Source organism: Homo sapiens, chromosome 14 (genome assembly GCF_000001405.40).
Source record: "Homo sapiens chromosome 14, GRCh38.p14 Primary Assembly".
NCBI classification, from domain to species: domain Eukaryota; kingdom Metazoa; phylum Chordata; class Mammalia; order Primates; family Hominidae; genus Homo; species Homo sapiens.
Window position 1 is genome coordinate 81,805,917 of NC_000014.9, and position 18,990 is coordinate 81,824,906.

Sequence of the window (18,990 nt, forward strand, 5' to 3'; positions counted from 1 at the left end):
AGCGAGAGTGAAAGAGAATTGTGTGACCTTCTCTCAAAACCTTGAACTGAATCAAATATGCTTTTGTTGGGAGAAAGATAATGACTGAACTGAGGTCATCTGAAAATGTGTTACAGACTGTGTTGTCAGTACAACACAATGCCCCATTCTTGGGAGAGATTATAAATTCTCCACCTTTGATGACAATTTTTCCATGATCATTTTTAAAAATAATTTCCTTGAAACTTTTCTATGAAGTGATGTTTTTTTCTAATTGCATCACTTGTTCTGATTTATATTCAGAGGAAAGAAGATGATATTATAAAATAAGAATTTGGAGGTTTCTGAGAACTAAAAGTGAACTAAATATGTTAAAAGTTTGTGATGAAACCCCTTGGGAAGAAGAATTTCAAATAATTTATGTAAATGCCCTTTCCTTAAGGAGGTGAAGCATAACTCTCTATTCTTTAAGTGTGAACTTCACATTGTGATTTCCTTCCAAAGAGTACTGTATAGAAAGGAGGAGAAAAAACGACTACACAGTAGAGAAACCTGAAAATCATTTCAGCTAGAAAATCAAGGTCAACATCAACAGTCATAAATCATATTGATAGCATGAACCCTTGATATGATGTGATGAGAATGACATTTTACCTCTGTGATCTTCCTCTCCCAAACCTATAAAATCCAGTCTAATCATGAGAAAAACATCAGACAAATTCCTGAGAGACATCCTACAAAACCTGACCAGCTCTCCTCAAAACTGTCAAAGTCTTCAAAAATAAGGCAAGTTGGACAAACTATCACCGTCAAAAGGAGTTTAAAAAGTCATGACAACTAAATGTAATGTGGCATTCTGGATGGAATCCTGCAACAGAAAAAAGAACATTCAGTAAAAACTAAGGAAATCTGAATAAACTATGGATTTTTCTTAATTAAAAAAAATTATGATACACCAGTCATTTTCTTATATCACAACTGATTTAATTCTAATAGTGAAACTATGTCTTCTTTAAGGAATAGAATATATGGCTGGGAGCTTAATATCCTAAACCTATGCTTAGAGAGAGGTAAAGTGACTTGTCCAAAGTTACACATTTCCTGAATAAGCCTAAGACTACATAACAACAGAGAATTGTAGGATTTGCCACAACCCTATGATGATTTATATATTAATTTTCTATTGCCACTGTAATGAATTGCCATAACTTTAGCAGCTTAAAACATCATCCATCTATTATATCACCATCTATTATATCATCCATCTATTATATCATCATCTATTATATCTGTATGTCAGCATTCTGGGTATAGCATGGCTCAGTTGGGTCCTTTCCTCAGAATCTCTTAAGGCCGAAATCAAATATATCAGCAGGGCTACCTTCCTTTCCATTTGTTCTGGGATAATTTGCCTTTAAAGTCATTCAGGTTTTTATCGAAATTCAGTTCCGTGTGGTCATAGAACTGAGATTCCCATTTCCTTGCTGGTTGTACGAGAGAAACATTTCTCAAGTCCCAAAGGCCTCCTGCATGCCTCCTCACAATGCCTTCTCCATCATAAAACAAGCGGCACAGTGAGTCTTTCTCATGCCTTGAATGTCTTCCACTTCCTCTCTGGTCACATCTCTCTGTCCTCAGCAAGGAGTAAACATTGATTTTTAAGAGCTCATGTAATTATATTAGGCTCACTGGATAATCCAGTATAATGTTCCTATCTTAAAGTCAACTGATTAGTAATCCCATGTCTACAAAATCCCTTTTTCCATATAGTGTAACATATTCACAGGCTTCAGGGATTAGGGCAGGACGTCTTGCAGGGGTGGCATTCTGCCTACCCCAGTTTAGTAAGAGTATTCTTGGCTGTTTGATGTTGATTACTATCTTACCATCACCATCTATTACCTCTGACACTCTCTGAGATATACCCATACATTTATGTTCAAGGGCTGGTCTCAAGTACATCCTAAGGTAGTCAGTTACCTTTCCTTGACTACATTTCAGAATCCTGCCATTTCTTCTCCCTGATATTTCAGTTATCACTATTTTAAATAAAAACAAAACAACACTCTTTTTTTTTTTTTTTTTTTTTTTTTGAGACGGAGTCTCGCTCTGTTGCCCAGGCTGGAGTTCAGTGGTGTGATCTCAGCTCACTGCAAGCTCCACCTCCCAGGTTCATGCCATTCTCCTGCCTCAGCCTCCCGAGTAGCTGGGACTACAGACGACCACCACCGTGCCCGGCTAATTTTTTTGTATTTTTAGTAGAGACGGGGTTTCACTGTGTTAGCCAGGATGGTCTGGATCTCCTGACCTCGTGATCCGCCAGCCTCGGCCTCCCAAAGTTCTGGGATTACAGGCGTGAGCCACTGCGCCCGGCCACAACACTCCCTTTTTTGTGTATACCAACTAACCAGTGAACCATCCACTTGGCAAAAAATTTCTTTTGAAACTCTGCAATATAATTAAGAAATACTCAAATGCCTGATAAAGGCCCCTCTCTCTTTTGCTCTGTCTTTCTCTTAAAGTTAATATGTGCATGATGGAGTTTGGATATATGTCCCGTCCAAATCTTGTGTTGAAATGTGATCCTCAGTGTTGGAGGTGGTGCTTGGTGGGAGATGTTTGGATCATGGGGGCAGATCCTTCATGAATGGCTTGGTGCCCTTCCTGTGGTAATGCTTTCACTTGAGCTCTGGTTGCTAAAAAGAGCCTTCTACTTCCTCCTTTCTCTCTCTTGCTCCCTCTCTCACCATGTGACATGCCAGCTCCCTCTTTGCCTTCTGTCATAACTGTAAGCTTCCTGAGGCTTCTCCTTTCTTTCTCTTGCTTCCTCTTTCTTACTCCTCCTCTCACCATGTGACATGCCAGCTCCCTCTCTGCCTTCTGACATAACTGTAAGCTTCCTGAGGCCTCACTAGAAGCAGATGCTATCACCATGCCTGTACAGCCTACAGAACTGTAAGCCAAATAAACCTCTTCTTTCTAAGTTACTCAGCCTCAGGCATGTCTTTATAGCAATGAAGAATGGACCAATAATTGCATATCTGTGCCCAACTCAGTACCTGATGCATTGTGGTATTTAGGAAATATTAGCTTAAGGAACTTGCAAATCCTTGCTCTAATTTGTCCCTCATAGATGACTAGGAGTGAAGATCTCATTAACCTTACCTTACAGAAGAGCAAACTGATGTTGAGAAGTCAAGCAGCTTCCCCATTCCCACTTGGCAAGTCCAGCCCTCTGGGGAGCTTGACACAGGTTTAGAGAACCAGGTCTGCATCCCAGTTCTTTCTACTACAAGACAACATCTTCCTTGAGGGCTAGGATAAATGCACAGTGTGGCCACTCAGGGCAATGAATTTACAGGCCATTTATTGCATTCAGATTCTACCCCTGGATATTTTGAAAATGTTAAGTCCATAATTTCTCTCCTTTAAGGTAGAGTTTTTCAGCTTAAAGTTGCTGAACTTAGAAGTTGTTTTCCAATTCTTGTGTAGGTGGTAATATTCCCTGCCTCCAGAAGCTGTAAATACATTCCTTACAATTTCTCTTCTGATTTTCTGCCCCTTCATCAGATTATTACTTCCTCACCTTTCCCTTCTCTAGTGGACTGGAAGCACCACAGGAGCAAGAGTCATATCTGTTATGTGCAGCTGGAGCCTGGTATAGTCTCAGTCTCAGTCATTGTGGAATGGATGAATGGGGCAGCACCTTAGAGTCAAGGAAGTGGGATATTCTGAGGGTTTAAGAAGTCCTCACTTAAATTCACCTTGTGTCTGCCTCCTCCCAGGGAAAAAAGAGCCCCTTAATCTGAATGTTGGGTCCCAGGAACCCAAGTGGGCCACATTTGCAGGGCTGGTGTCACCGTGCACTGAGGGTTATGAGCCTGGGTATGAGGCTCTCTTCCTGGTGCTCAGGACTTTCTTCCCCTTTCTCATGGAAGAAGTTGTAAACTGACATAGCAAAACACTCCTGTAACCAACTCTCCAGCACTCTCTTTCCTAGGGTTTCTTCCATGTAGCAGGGCTGACGGGGGCTAAACTTTAGTTTTGAGCTTAAGGGGAGATAAGGAGTTTTTAAAGGAGGATCGGTTTTAATAGTCAAACTGCCTGGGTCCATACCCCAATTCTGTCCCTTAATAGCTATGCGAGCTTGGGAAAGCTGGTTATCCCCTGATTTTTTGGTGAATTTCCTAATCTGTAGAGTGATCAATAATTGTTGCTAGATTTTCAAATGTTTTATAGGGGTAAAAATTAGATCATGCCTATGAAGCATTCAGCACAGTGTCTGGCATCTAGAAAGTGCTTCTTCCTTATACCTACTTGGCTCACACCTTCACCAAATAATTATTTCTTTAGATCTTCCCTTCTCAGTGAAGCTTTCCCTGAGTATCCTACTTAATACCTCAAACCCTTCCCACCTCATGATCCAATTGGCACTTCTGATCTATCTTGCTCTTGGTTATTCCCTTCTAATAATAGCCATTTTATAATATTCTGATATATTACTTTCTTTTTTAATGTAGGTTACATTTTGGAGATAGAAGAGGGGCTGAGCAGGGGAGAAGGCTACTCTTCATGAAAATTTTATTTTTCCCTTTTAGAGATTAAAAACAAAAATTCTCTAAGTTAACTACATCCCTATGGCATCATACTTGAAGCTTCTACTGAGCTTTAATTTAAACATCAAATCGCCCCCACATGGTAAATAAACAGCAGACAAATATCTGGTGACTTTGTAATGTCTTTTATGTTTTCCACAAGTTCAACTCCTCCATTCCTAACTATGGTTGCCACTAAGCACAGATTGTACCCACGTTATAAATGAGTCATTTTGTGGATTTACTTGAATTAGAGATGTCAGCAAATATTCCCCTTGGTCCTAGCCTGTCATTAGGGGAGGCCCGTTTGGAACCACAGAGACTCTACTAGTCCTACACATTTTTCCGGGGTTGAAACTCTGCTTACTTGGTATTTTTCCTGCAGCACTGTGAACTTCTTTCTTCTATAACTCCTCTTATTGATGGTTAAAACACAGGCACCAACCCTTCCCCCTCCATCTCTCTCCATACACAGCTTTTTCTGTACTCTCATCCTACTGATGCAGCAGCATCTGCCACCCTTTTTCACTCTACCATTGTGTCATTTAGAAACCCACTTCAGCAACTCTTCCACCTGGTCATCACGAATGAAACGAAATTTTCCTCTCACAATTTCCTGTTCCTGGTAATTCTCTCCAGGGTTAAATCTTATTTAACCTCTACACATTGTTAATTGTCTACCAAGGTTTAATTAATTAATTAATTAATTTTTGAGACTGGCTGGAGTGCAATTACGTGATCTTGGCTCACTGCAGCCTCTGCCTCCCAGGTTCAAGTGATTCTCCTGCCTCAGCCTCCCGAATGGCTGCGATTACAGGCACACGTCACCATGCCCAGCTAATTTTTGTATTTTTAGTAGAGACAGGGTTTCACCATGTTGGCCAGGCTGATCTTGAACTCCTGACCTCAAGTGATCCACCCACCTCAGCCTCCCCAAGAGCTGGGATTACAGGCGTAAGCCATTACGCCTGGCCTCAGGTTTAATTTAAATTTCAAATTACCCCCATGGCAAATAAATACCAGAAAAATATCTGGTAACTTCTTCTTACAATCCCTTGGTGTTTCCTAGAACTTTAGGGATCAAGTCAGGATTTGGTATATTCCTTGCAACATTCAGTTCAACCTTACTTGCACTGCTCAATAGACAAATCCTTTATTAAAAAATGACTTTCCCAAAATTCCTGAAAAGCTGTGGTATCTGCGTTTAGTTGAATGTCTTCATTCAGAATTATGCCTTTTTTGACGTCCTTGCTAGCCACTTCTCTCTTTTCTCATTTTAGTCATCTCTAGTGTTTTAAAATGTAGGTTTGGTTATTATTCAGACTATTGAAAAGACAGTTTGTTATTTGTAATTCTCGAGAGGATAGGGAGGTCATGCCATGTAGTGCCACACAGGGAGGCACTGCGGTCAGGAGACAGAAGGAGTGAGGGGAGAACACAGTCACGTGCCATTATTGGTGTTTCTGTGGAAAGAAACAAATAAGGCAGAGTTAACAGTTTAGAAATGGCTAGTCTGAATAATTTCAACAGACTCTGGAGTATGGGGCTGTCCCTAGTTGCCTGGTCCCTGGCCCTGGGGTGATTAGAGCCAGTGGCTTGTGGTCCAGAGTATAAGAGCCCGATAAAGAAAATAGCTGAGGGGTTTGGGCTCCTGATTTGTTGGTTTGCATGTGAAAGACAGTTGCAGGCGAGTCCTTTACTATTTTTAGGAATTGGCTCACCCAGGGAGGAGCAGACTCTCAAGGATCAGTAAGGCCCGAATGTGAAAGAAAATACAAATAATAATAATAATAAAAAAAACGCAGTTAACACATCTAGTCTCATATATTCTCTCCAACTTACCTAATGGTTGGATTTCTGTCTTCTTCTGCACATAACTCTCTCCTTTCCATTTCCCACCCAGTTAACTTGATATTCTGTTTTTATACTTGGCAATTTAGCTTTCAACCAAGTCCCTAACCCCTCAGTTGTAATGATTGCCATCTTTACTAAAACCACCCAGATGAAGCACTATATTAGATTAATATGCGTCACATCAGTTTGGTTCTTGTTTTCCAAAATTGTCCTTTCCATCTGCATACCTCTTTTATTTTCCATTTGTTTACCCCACTCAAAAAGTTCTTCCTGTTTATTCAAGCCCATGACACCTGGGATTTCTCTCAATCCACCCTCTCCATTTTGAGTTCACAGACTTCTCCACCACTTCCTATTAATTTCCAGATGCTACCGACTGACCTGCATGACATCTTCAGTTTAGCTACTCCCTTACACTCTCACTTCCATCATGTAGTGTGTAGGCCTGGTTGCTTCCCTTTATCTAGGACCAACAGGCTTATCCCTCCAACTCTCTAAATAGTTTACCCATGGCTGCTAGATTCATATTCCTTAAATAAAATTTCTATTATGAGACTCTCCTGTACAAATTCCTTCACTGACTTCCCTACATCCACTGAGGAAAAACAAAAAAACAAAAACAAACAAAAACAAAAACAACACAAAACAAAAAATAGATTATTCCCGGATCAGGATGAGTGGCCCTTCATGGTGTGGATTTTTACCCTCTTCTTTGATGAAGTTGGCTTTGATTTTCCCTGGCCAGATACAAATTTTCTCTCCAAAGAACTGTGTAACTTTATGGAGGCACTCGTATTCTGTCTTGCTTCAATTATTTTGTATACCATTAGACAGTAAGCTTTTTTATGACAGGGGCTTTATCTTATTCATCTTTGTGTTTTCTGTAGTGATTAGCAATAAGCCTTATAAATAGTAGGTGTTAATGATTATTTTTAATGAAATAGCATCTCAAAACACTATGGTAAGAATCCTGAGCACTCAGCTAAATCCTTAATTAGGTATCATTTAAAAAAATAAAGATAATTTACAAGTAATTGAACATACCCAAGCAATTACTCTACAAATGTTTGTTTGAATCAGTTTGAACTTCCAAATTGCCACATGCACCTTAGTTTGCTCTATATTTTGTATTATATGTGCTCCTTGTGCTTTTAACTGTACATTTAATATTTAGAAAAGGGTTAAACAAATGTGATGTGTTATATCCAAGGAAGGAGGGAAAGTGAGACAAACTAAGTCATTTGTATAAAACCAAATAATTCTAAGACACAGAAATAATCAAATACATCATGAACTCCCACACATTGCAGCTTTTGAGGGGGTAGCCACATTATCTTGCCTAGAGACAGTGAGGGGGCAGAGAACAGCGGAAAGTCTCATTTATGTTCCTGTACTGGGTAGACTGACCACTCCCTAGTTATCCATCAAGTGGAATCAGTGCAGGTGAGAGCAAGTAAGAAACAGAGTAATAGAATTTCAGAAGTCAGAAGGCTCTTAGAGGTCATCTGGTTCAATCTCCTGCCAGTAGCAGGAATCTTTTCTAAGTGCCATGGACATATGGCATGTTTTGAACACCCCACTGAGAGAGATGATTGCCCTATTGAGGGATCTCATTTCACTTTAGGACAGAGCTAATTATTAGGAAATCCTTCTTTCTGTTGAGTTGAAATATGCTTCCTATAACTTTTACCCAGTGGCCCTCGTTCTATCCTCTTGAGTAACGCAGATTAGATTAAATTTATCTTTCTTATAATTGCGCTCAAAATAGCTGAAGCTCACTATCATGTCCTCTATCAGTCTTTTCTAGAGGCTGAATAAAAATCTCCATTTCTTACACAAACAACAATTCCAAAGCACTTTATTTGCTTCTTGCATTTAGAATTTATATCATGTTAATTAGCATATTAATTTGTATGTATTTCTCTTCTCTTTCTTCCTATGCTTTGTGCTGAATTTAATTGAGGAAAAAAGATATTTTCTGAATCTTTTATTCTTCAGTCACCTTTCTCAAGATCTACCCCAGGTCTGCTATGTTTCCTTTAAATATAACTTCCAGAAGAGAAAGGGAACAGGGGAAGCAATATTCTCTTAAATGAATGACTTTACAATGATTTTAAAGGGAAATGTGGTGATATCAAGGGAGTTAAGACTATGATGAAATTATTTTAGAGGAAATAATATGGAGAGACCAGGAAAGACTTAGCACAGGACGCAAAGCCTGGAGGCCTCAAAGAGGGCTTGCCCAGGCATCTTTCCACCTGGGGTGCTGCCTTTCCCTCCTGTCTAGGCTATAAGACTCTGGCTGTCCCTCTGTCTGAATCCTAGGTAATTTGGGGTGACTATAATTTCTCCTGATTATGCTGCTGTAGTTTCCTCTAGTTACAACTTGATTAATAGAATGAAGCTGGTATTCATGGCCTACAGAGAGGGCAAGGTCAACTAGGGCCTTTAGGATTTGACCTCCTGAACCTCACTTGACATAGTGATACAAATTGAAGAAGTATCCAGTATCCCAAAATACTAAATGGAGTGCTTGGCTTTTATTTCTGCTAAATTTTATCATGTTAATTTTTGTCTTTTTTTTTTGTTCAATCCCTTAAGAATCACTTATGGCTTGATTCTCTTCTCCAGTGAAAATTTCTGTCATCTTTCATCTGATAAGTATGACATGTATGTCTTAATCTAAGTGTTAGATAAAGTCACTGAATAGGGTGGAACCAAGAACTAGATCCATGAGTCTGCCATTTGGACCTCCTTCCAGACAGACGTAGACACTTTAATCAATATTATTTAGGTTTCATTGTCCTGTTCTTTGCGAAAAGTTGTGACAGTGTTATTAGTCAGCAAATATTTCCTCATTTTGCCAACAAGGATGTCCTAGAAGCTTTTGTAAAAGCCTTGCTGAAGTCTGGATATGGTGTGACTACAGCATTGTTTTAAAAATTTTCTTATGAAAAGGAAAAATATGTGTATTTTGTTGGAATAAGCCTATTCTTATACCTAAGAATCATTACATTTTCATCTTTATGTGTACACCAATGCCACATGTGTATCATTTACTCTATTGGTGTGCAAGCAAAACATATTAATTTCATTAGTCTGGCCTGGTGCGGTGGCTCACACCTGTAATCCCAGCACTTTGAGAGGCCGAGGCGGGCAGATCACCTGAGGTCAGGAGCTCAAGAACAGTCTGGTCAACATGGCAAAACCCTGTCTCTACTAAAAGTACAAAAATTAGCTGGGCATGGTGACATGTGCCTGTAATCCCAGCTACTCGGGAGGCTGAGGCAGGAGAATCGCTTGAACCTGGGAGGCGGAGGTTGCAGTGAGCAGAGATTGTACCACCACACTCCAGCCTGGGTGACAGAGATGCTGTCTCAAAAAAAAAAAAAAAATTCATTAGTCTGTCATTTCTAGAATCTTTTCTAATTTTGAATTTTTATTTTCATGTAGTGATTTTTGCCTTCTGAACATCTTTAGGCAGTAACTTCATAATCATAACTCAAGGTTCATTTAACATCGTGATTTAACTTATTGTGGACTGGAAATTTATTTAATTTTTTATGGTGCACTCAGATTTCTAAGTAGTTCTAGAAAATCCCCATTGGCTGGAACTGTACAAATAGAACTTTTTATGATGTTGAAAATGTTCTATTACTCTGTCGTCCAGCACAGCAGCCACTGGTAACACATAGCTATTGAGCACTTGAAATATAACTAGAGCAACTGAGAGAGTGAATTTTAAATTTGATTAATTTTAATTAAACTTTAAATAGCCATGTGTGGCTATTAAAACTGAAAAGCTTCTGAATAAAGGTGTTGTTCAACACAATTCTAGAATGCTGGACCTTTTATGAACAGCACGTTTATTCAGAAGCCTCTCATTTGATTACTGGAATTCTTTGTGATTGTATAGTCAGATTTTTAAAATTTTTTAGCAAGGCTCTCATCATGACATTACCTCTATTACTGAAGATGTTTAAAATCTGCTTTTCTTGGTATATACAGATATTTCTACTTTCTGCTCCTCTTCAGGCTTCCTAGAACAAAAATGTTAACATCAGGCACGGTACTCAGGAAGAAAACTATTTCAGCCACAGATGGCTGAATTCTACCAAAAGGAATCGGCCCCCGCTCTTCATTCTTTCAATTTGCAGAGATAAATTCCTAAGATTTCAGGGGCTGGATACAGTCTTGAGAGTTAGAGAAATATCTTCAATTAGAAGAGTACAAGATGTTAATAAGAAATTAATGCTTACTACAGGTACACGTTTCTTACATAAATTATTTAAAGATTGGAGCCACAGAGTGTTATAAAGAGAAATTATTGCTTTACCAGGGCTCTGATATAATAAGAACTGGAAAAGTTTTACACAGGGTTATATTGGGAAACGTGGCTTACATCCACATCTTTGACTTTGTAGCCTAGGTTGCTAGATGGGCATGTCTTATAAGACGTGTGCGTATGTACATAGGAACACATAGAATCATTTAAGCATGTGTAGGCAAATCCATGTCTATAATGGCATAAGTTTATTCCTACATCTGAGTTTATATTCCACATTTTTTTATAAATAATTAATTCTTGTGACAAGAAAACCAGGAGTCATCCCACAATATGTTAACTGTGAAACAGTTGTGGGAACTGAATGTTTTATCCTCAGAAATTCACAGATTGCCAACAAGGGGCAATAATCATACCCTGCTTGGCAGTTTTGACTGTGGAGAATGTCATGCCACCCTGGACTCCCTCCGATGTGACTTTCCTATGTGAAGTAGAGGTTAAGTCAGTCTTTAACTGCCTAGTTGTGACAAATCTCAGATGCCACATGCCCTCAACCTCTGTTTTCCTGCTAATAGACTTGAGGGATTAGCAAAGTGACCAGACCAATCTCCTCAGGATGTTTGTGGGAAAATGTATTGGTAAGTGATCAAGCGTTCTGAAAAAATAATGCCTAAGTAAAGTGCTAAGTCTTGTTTTATGCCTCCTGATACAACCCACTTACTGGTTCAGTCCCCTTATTTTTTGACACAGTTGGAGGAGGAAAAATTAACTCTGGCGACTGTATTCTAAGTAATTACTGATTACTCCATAGCTTCTCAGAAAATTATGCAGGATGGAAAATGAAACCAGTGACCCATAGGTGTTTTCTAGTGTTTGTGGCGAACACACAGCTGCACCCCAGCTCTCTTTACACCTTTGTTGCTTTACTGTCTCTAGCCAGGGAGGATCGATCATAGTACTTGAATTCAGAGAAAGGAGCCTGAGGCCTATATCTTTGCATCACGACACTAACGGATCCTGAACTTGAGGAGAGAACAATTAATTCTTAGGCCAGCTAGGCAGCAGAGGCTTCCAGAGCTGACTTCTTTTGTGTGTCCTGAAACCAACCATCACGTATCTATCCTTGGCTCCTTTTTGAAAGGGAAAACATATATAGAGCAGGAGGAAAATAGAGAATGTGAGTGAACTCCCCTCCCACCCAATGTCTTTATGTCCTATTGTTTGGCATATACTCAACCTCTGTGGTAAATGTCCCCCAAGAAGGTGGGCAAGCCTCTTAATAAGGAGTACTATTTCTTTTCTTCTCCCTTCCTTCCCGTCCTCCCCCTCTCCATCCCTCCCTCCTTCCTTCCTTCTTCCTTCCTTTCTTCCCTCCCTCCTTCCTTCCTTCTTCCTTTCTTCCCTCCCTCCTTCCTTCCTTCTTCCTTTCTTCCCTCCCTCCTTCCTTCCTTCTTTCCTTCCCCATCCTGCTGTCCTACTTCCTAAATATTGACTGAGTACCTACCATGGGTCAGGCATCATGTTAAATGGTGGTGACTGTATAAAGGACATAGAGATCAAGAAGGTGTCCTCGTGAAGCCAATATTCTCTGAACTGTTGCTGTTCCTTCTCCGTATTTCTCCTGTCACCCCAACCCAGGACCTTGAAAATAAGAAGTGCTGATTTTAGTCGAGGGAGGAAGATTTACTAGAATCACAACTGAATTTGGGATAGGAGGAGAAGCCCAAATGAATAAAAGGAAGCAAGGCATTAAGAGTCTTTAAGTAGCACATTTAAAGGTTGGCTGCTTTTGTGTTAAAGCCATTAGACATGATTAACACTCTGGCAACTCAGTAAATAAGAGCTTTAGTTCTTTTCAAAGAATTCTGGGTGGTGGGTGGAGAGAGAAGAAGGAGAAACATAATTAGGGGGTAGGTGAAGAGGCAGGAGGGCCCTTCCAAAGCCTTTACTTGGGGGACTTGCTTTCTTAACATGCAACCCAGCCAGTTCACCCTTCCATTGTTACATGCTAAATGATGCTTTATTCTTGTTCCATAATTGACGGAGATTATAGTTTAGAAGTAATATTTAAAAATGGATTATCTAAATGTATACTGCTTATTATGTTGGCTCAGTACATTATGTGTATAGGTTGCAAAGAATTTTAGGGATTAAGTTGTAATTAATTTTTTATCACTTGAATTCTGTATATTGTTTCCCATGCCCCTGTGGCTGTAGTATTCTCTAACAGGATTTTTTGGAAGATAACAGAATATTTTTATCCAACAGCTAAGAAATATCACTTGGTACAACTCATATAAAGCCAACCTAGATGAAGATAGACTTAGAAAAAGGAACAGTTTTTCTTCACAAAATTCCTTTCTAAATTTATTGTAGGATTACTTGAACTAGCTCTTTAAACTATTTTTTTTAACTGAAAAGTTGGGCCTGAAAAATGAGTAGTGGTGGAATTTGTCTTCATAAAAATGTAAGTAATAAGCTGGATACACATCATAGGCTCTTAATATTTACCAAATTGGTCATAAATGAGAGGTTTCTTTACCATGACAATTACTTTTTACACTATAATATATTCAAATTGAGGGCTTTGTTGGATTAATGCAGTATTCTAACGGCATCCTGGAAAGGTTCTATGTTGTGGACTTCTATTTTTATAAAATAAATGTCCAGTTACTGAAGAGCCACAACACCATGCCCAAACACTAAAAGAAATTGTATTCAAACTGGATTTTTCTGCGATGATCTGATTTTAAACAAACAGCCCTATTATCTCTATAATTACTCTATCGACAATCTTAAATTTGACCTGAGCCCTGTGCTCTTAGAAAAGAGCAAAGTGTGACAAATCCTCTCATTCTTTGTGTTCCCAGAAAGGGCTTAGTGCAAAGAACCACCCTTTCCCGTATGACTTAGATAAGACTCATGAAAACATGCCTTGTTTACCTTTGACAAGGCCAGACATAAACCCTCTAAATTCCCGTTCTTCACCACGTAAATGATTAGCTGAATTGCTCTGCCTGCACTAATCAATCAAAACCATCTGTTGGTTAAACCAACTTTAGGTTAAGTTTCCCTCCTTCTATCACATTACTAAACTATGGCCCATCTTCAGCCTGAGCTTGCACACAACCCCTCCTTGATAGCACCTACCCAACTGAGGATAGGGGATACTGAGGACTCATGATAAAATGTTCTCTGGCCCAGTGTCCCATCACACCACCTTTTATTCAGCTTCCCCACACTTGGATTTTTGTAGCTATGAGCCTTAGTCTGTTTTGTGCTGCATACCTGAGACTGGGTAATTTATAAAAAACAAGTGTATTGGCTTACAGTTCTGGAGACTGGGAAGTCTAAGATCAAGGCTCTGGCAGGTTTGGGTCTGGTGAGGCCATTCTTTTCTTCCAAGATAGTGCCTTACATGCTACATCCTCTAGAGAGGAGGAGCACTGGATCCTCACGTGGCAAAAAGCAGAGGAGCCAAGGCAAAAATTTGAATTTGCCCTTTTATATTGGCATTACTCCCACCCTCCATCTTCATGAGCTAACCACCTTTTAAAGGTCCTCCTCTTAACTGTTACAATGATAGTTAAATATCAACATGAGTTTTAGAGAGAACAACCATTCAAACAGTTCCACTGTGTTCACTCCTCTCTATAAAAGAAAAATCCTTTTTGCCTAACTCTTGAGGTGTTTACAGATCTTATAATCAGAATGTTCTTCCTATTGCAATAGTACCCCTCTCTCTATTGCAATTGTTGCCCCACAGGTATTCCTTGCAATAGTTCTTTTGAATAAAGTTTCTCCTTACCAAGTCCAGATTTATTTTTTATTTGACATTATTTATACTTGTCAGATATTATATCCTCCGAAACTCAGAGAAACTAAAATACTTCCAGAGGACCTTCAGGAAAATAAATCAGATATAATTTTTTTTGTGGTATTTAATGTTTTAGAATAAATTAAGATGATAGGGTAACAAAAACCCTAGTTTCTCATATAGTCTACACTCAGAAATTCCCCATCCTGCCTCTATCTGGCCATATTTTGTTTACTACTTTAAACTAATGGGCTCTGTGTACCCATTTTCTTCTTGAAAACAGAGTATATAATAGGCCTTAGGCACTGAGGATTTGTTTCTAGTTTTATTATTAAAACCATTAAAACCTATAGAATAAAGTAACCTTTGGTTTTGCTAAGGCACCAATTTGAAGCTTACCTTCTCTGAAACTGGTGTGAGTGGAGTGAGAAATTTAGCCACCAGAACTTCACTGTGTCTTTATTGTCAAGAAACAGTGTTAATGGGGAAATAATATTTTAGTTATGTTCACATATTTTGGTATTACATTGGAATGTTGACTTTCTGCTGTAGTGGAGAAAAACATTTTATTCCACCGTCCTAGGTTCTATTGTTGGAGCCTGTGAATTAAACTGACAAAAGGTGGTCAGGCCAATGGTTCACACCTGTAATCCCAGCACTTTGGGAGGCTGAGGCGGGCAGATCACCTGAGGTCAGGAGTTTGAGACCAGCCTTGCCAAAATGGTGAAACCTCTTCTATACTAAAAATACAAAAAAAATTAGTCAGGCGTGGTGGCGGGTGCCTGTAATCCCAGCTACTCGGGAGGCTGAGGCACAAGAATCACCTGAACCTGGGAGGTTCAGGTGCCCAGCATGCATTAGCTATTTTTCCTAATAACAAAGGGTGATAAATTTATGGAGAAGCGGCTTGGAGTGAGCTGAGATTGCGCCACTACACTCCAACCTGGGCGACAGAGCGAGACTCCATCTGCAAAAATAAATAAATAAATAAACTGACAATAGGCAAATTTGTAGCAGAAAAGGCATATACATCTTATTTTTAACTGTATGTGCACAGGAGCCCGCACAGAAAAGGAGTGGAAACCTAAAGATGTGGTTAGATCTGGGGCTTATATACCACTTTAACAAAGGGCAATAAACTTTTTTTAAATTTTAAATTTTAATTTTAAGTTCTGGGGTAAATGTGCAGGATGTGCACATGTTAAAAACATAGGTAAACGTGTGCCATGGTGGTTTGCTGCACCTATCAACCCATCACCTAGGTATTAAGCCCAACATGCATTAGCTATTTTTCCTAATAACAAAGGGTGATAAATTTATGGAGAAGCAGCTAGACAAAGGAAAAGAAGTTTGGGCTCCTAGGAGCAGTGAGTTGTGAAGAAAGACTAGAAAATATATATGAGATAAGGGTTGTTAAGTTTGTTATACACATAAGAGTCATTGCTCTTTTCCTGGTACAAGAAAGAGAAACACTTTTGCAAATAGAAATTTATGTCACTTTTACAAAGGGTAATTTATGTCCTGCTTTAGGCAGAAAACAGGGAGGGCAGAGGGGAGCGATCTCTTCCATGTCTGCTATTTCTTAATTACCTTTAACTCAAAATAATCCTTTTGCCAAAGTGGCATATTTTGGAGTGGTATTTTCTAATCCCCTTCAGTGCTATTTTCATTACTTCCCTCATCACTCAGGACAGTTCTTTATGTGCCAATATACATTTCCTTCAATGTTTAGTAAAAACAGCAGACATTTCCTTCAATATATTAGTAAAAACAATTTTATTGCAGGGCCTCTCACTGCAGATCAAGAGGTAAAACCATTTTGTGGCTCTTAGTATTGGGTTGATAGCACAGCAGACAATAGGTAAATAAGGAGGATTTTCCTCCTGATTCCTTCCCCAAGGTCAGAGCAGGAAAAGAGTGCTTTTACTTTGCAGAACATTCTTCATATGACTGTTCCCTATCCCGTTGGGCTTAATTCTGTTCTTAATGAGCTGCACACCTGTGTCCCTGGCTGGCTGCCCTCCACACAGTGGGAAGAGGTGAGGGAGGGTGACTTCCTCCTTCATCCTGAGCCCTAGGATTCAGAGCTGTGTCTGCCTGTATTTTGTTGAACATCCCAAGCGTGGGTGGTATTCTGAATATCTTCCCATTATGCTAAGCAGCTAACATCGACTTTGTTATGCAGATTGAGGTTAAAGATAGTGAAATTTCTCAGTTATATCCAGGCTTACCACAACCAAGCAAACTTTCCAATTGCACAACATATTGAAGAAAACTATGCCTGAGTTGTTTCTGTTTTTGTTTTTTAAATTTCCTGGCTAGTGGATACTGAGCTCAAGTCAAAGAAGATGGTGGTAAAGATTACCCATGCCTTGGGGTTTGGGGAAATGGCCTCACAATAAAAAATGCAAAATGAGTCCTGAGAGCTGTCACAGACTTACCCCAGCCCATCATTCTTTGTGGGGCATTCAAATAATGATCTTGGGTGAGGATGGAGAGGAATAGTAGCAGCTCAGATTTCTATTTGACCATTATCATATCTCAAGAAAATGCCTAGATGGATTTTTACCAAATTTAGATGGTATATTTGGGATAGTAGAACCCAAAATGTACCCTATGTGAGACATGCATAATTTACTTCAGGGGGCCTTGAGAGGACCTTAAAAAGATGAACAGTCTTTCTCTGGAGAACCCGAAACTGGGTATATTAGTCCGTTTTCATGCTTCTGATAAAGACATACCTGAGACTGGGCAATTTACAAAAGAAAGAGGTTTAATGGAGAACTCACAGTTCCACATGGCTAGGGAGGCCTCACCATCATGGCAGAAAGGCAAGGAGGAGCGTCACATCTTACGTGGATGGAGGCAGGCAAAATGAGGGAGAACTTGTGCAGGGGAATGCCTCTTTTTAAACCGTCAGGTCTCATGAGAGTTATTCACTGTTATGAGAACAGCATAGGAAAGACTTGCCCCCATGATTCAATTACCTCCCACCGAGTCCCTCCCACAACATGTGGGAATTCAAGATGAGATTTGGGTGGGGATGAAGTCAAACCATACCACTGGGGCATAATTAAAAGTCTGGTGGTGGACCATATCTGTAGAGACTTGCCAGATATGTTAAAATGTGGAGGGAAAAGAAAGCCTGGTGTCTGCAGTGTGACCCCAAAATCTGAAGTCCTAGAAGGACACTGATTGTGACTGCTGGTTTGTGAATGTGTTTCTCCCCAAGGGAGCAACGCTATGCAGCATCATCTGCAGAGAGGGACACCCTGGGTATAAAATAAACCAGTCTATGCCACTTCAAAATACATCTCTTTGGCATAGGACTATTTTGCCCTCTTCCCATCTACCTAAAAGCAGGATATATGGTTCCTTTTGTGAAGGTATTGCCTCTGCCCTCCATTATACCAGGATCAAAACAATCCTTATCACTGCAGACAGAATGTCAGCATCAAAATGAGTCTGCACAGACAAACTTTATAAAAATCACTCTTATATTTTATTGTTTTCTCTTACATGTTTCTTCCCACCATTTATTGCCCTTAAATGTTCAACCTCTTCTCTTTTGACTTGTCACTTCTTCACAAATTTATCATCCTTTGTTAAAATGGCATAGATGCCCCTGTGTCTACTCATTCTTTGGGTCTCTACTTCATTTCTATGAAGACTTCCATGCATGTAAAAATTAGAATGTTATTATCAAATAAAATTGTTATACCTTTCTCTTGTTAATTTTTTGTCAGTCTAATTCTCAGGTTCTAGCCCGAGAACTTAAAAGGGTAGAGGAAAGGTTTTTTTTTTCCCTCTCTTACATATAACCATCTCAAATTCCCCCCTCTCGTTTTCTCCATGGGCTTCTAACTTGCCTGAGCTATTCGTTACCTTGTATTTTTTGATCCTGTGCTCTTATCCTTTTATCAATGAGGACACACTTCCAATACATGTTTGTTTATATGTTAACATTATACTTGTAGTACTGCACTAGTATTTCTTCTGCATTATAAATATGCATAAGAATAGAAGTTCTGATTAAAAAATACCAGTATTCTGATATTTCCTTTCTTACTCACCAATGGATCTTTGAGCCTTCATCCTACTCTAGAGTATCTCCTCCAAGCTAGTTTTATTTCAAGAGTCAGAGAGAACTTTTTGAAATGCAATTTTAATCCTATTGCTCACCAGCTTAAGACAAGTTAGGTGTTTGCACTGAGAATAAAATTTTATTCCTGGTGGCCAACGAGCCCTCCCTTGCCCTGCTGCTACCTAATTTGTGTCCTGCTTCAGTCCCTCTCTGCCACTTTGTCCCTGGCTTATTAGGTTTCTGCCATATTGAACTCCATTTGGTTTCTCAAATGCTACAAGCTTGTTCCTGTCACTGAGCCTTCATGTAGGATTAATTTTGTAGAGAAAAAAAGTATCTTTTCCTTGTATTCTTCTAAGTTCTCCTCTGGAGTCCT

At 39.4% G+C, this 18,990-nt stretch overlaps 2 long non-coding RNA genes across 5 annotated transcripts in view; one reads left to right on the forward strand and one right to left on the reverse strand.

Annotated features, from left to right (window-relative positions):
- Window positions 1-18,990, forward strand: part of LOC107984704 (uncharacterized) — a 336,950-nt gene that overhangs the window by 68,720 nt on the left and 249,240 nt on the right. The gene's annotated exons all lie outside the window — the stretch shown is intronic.
- LOC105370598 (uncharacterized) lies at window positions 5,559-14,167 on the reverse strand. Its single transcript, XR_944083.2, has 4 exons — window positions 14,044-14,167; window positions 12,218-12,354; window positions 10,390-10,468; window positions 5,559-6,037 (listed from the first exon to the last, which is right to left on the reverse strand). It is a non-coding gene; the product is annotated as an uncharacterized LOC105370598 (long non-coding RNA).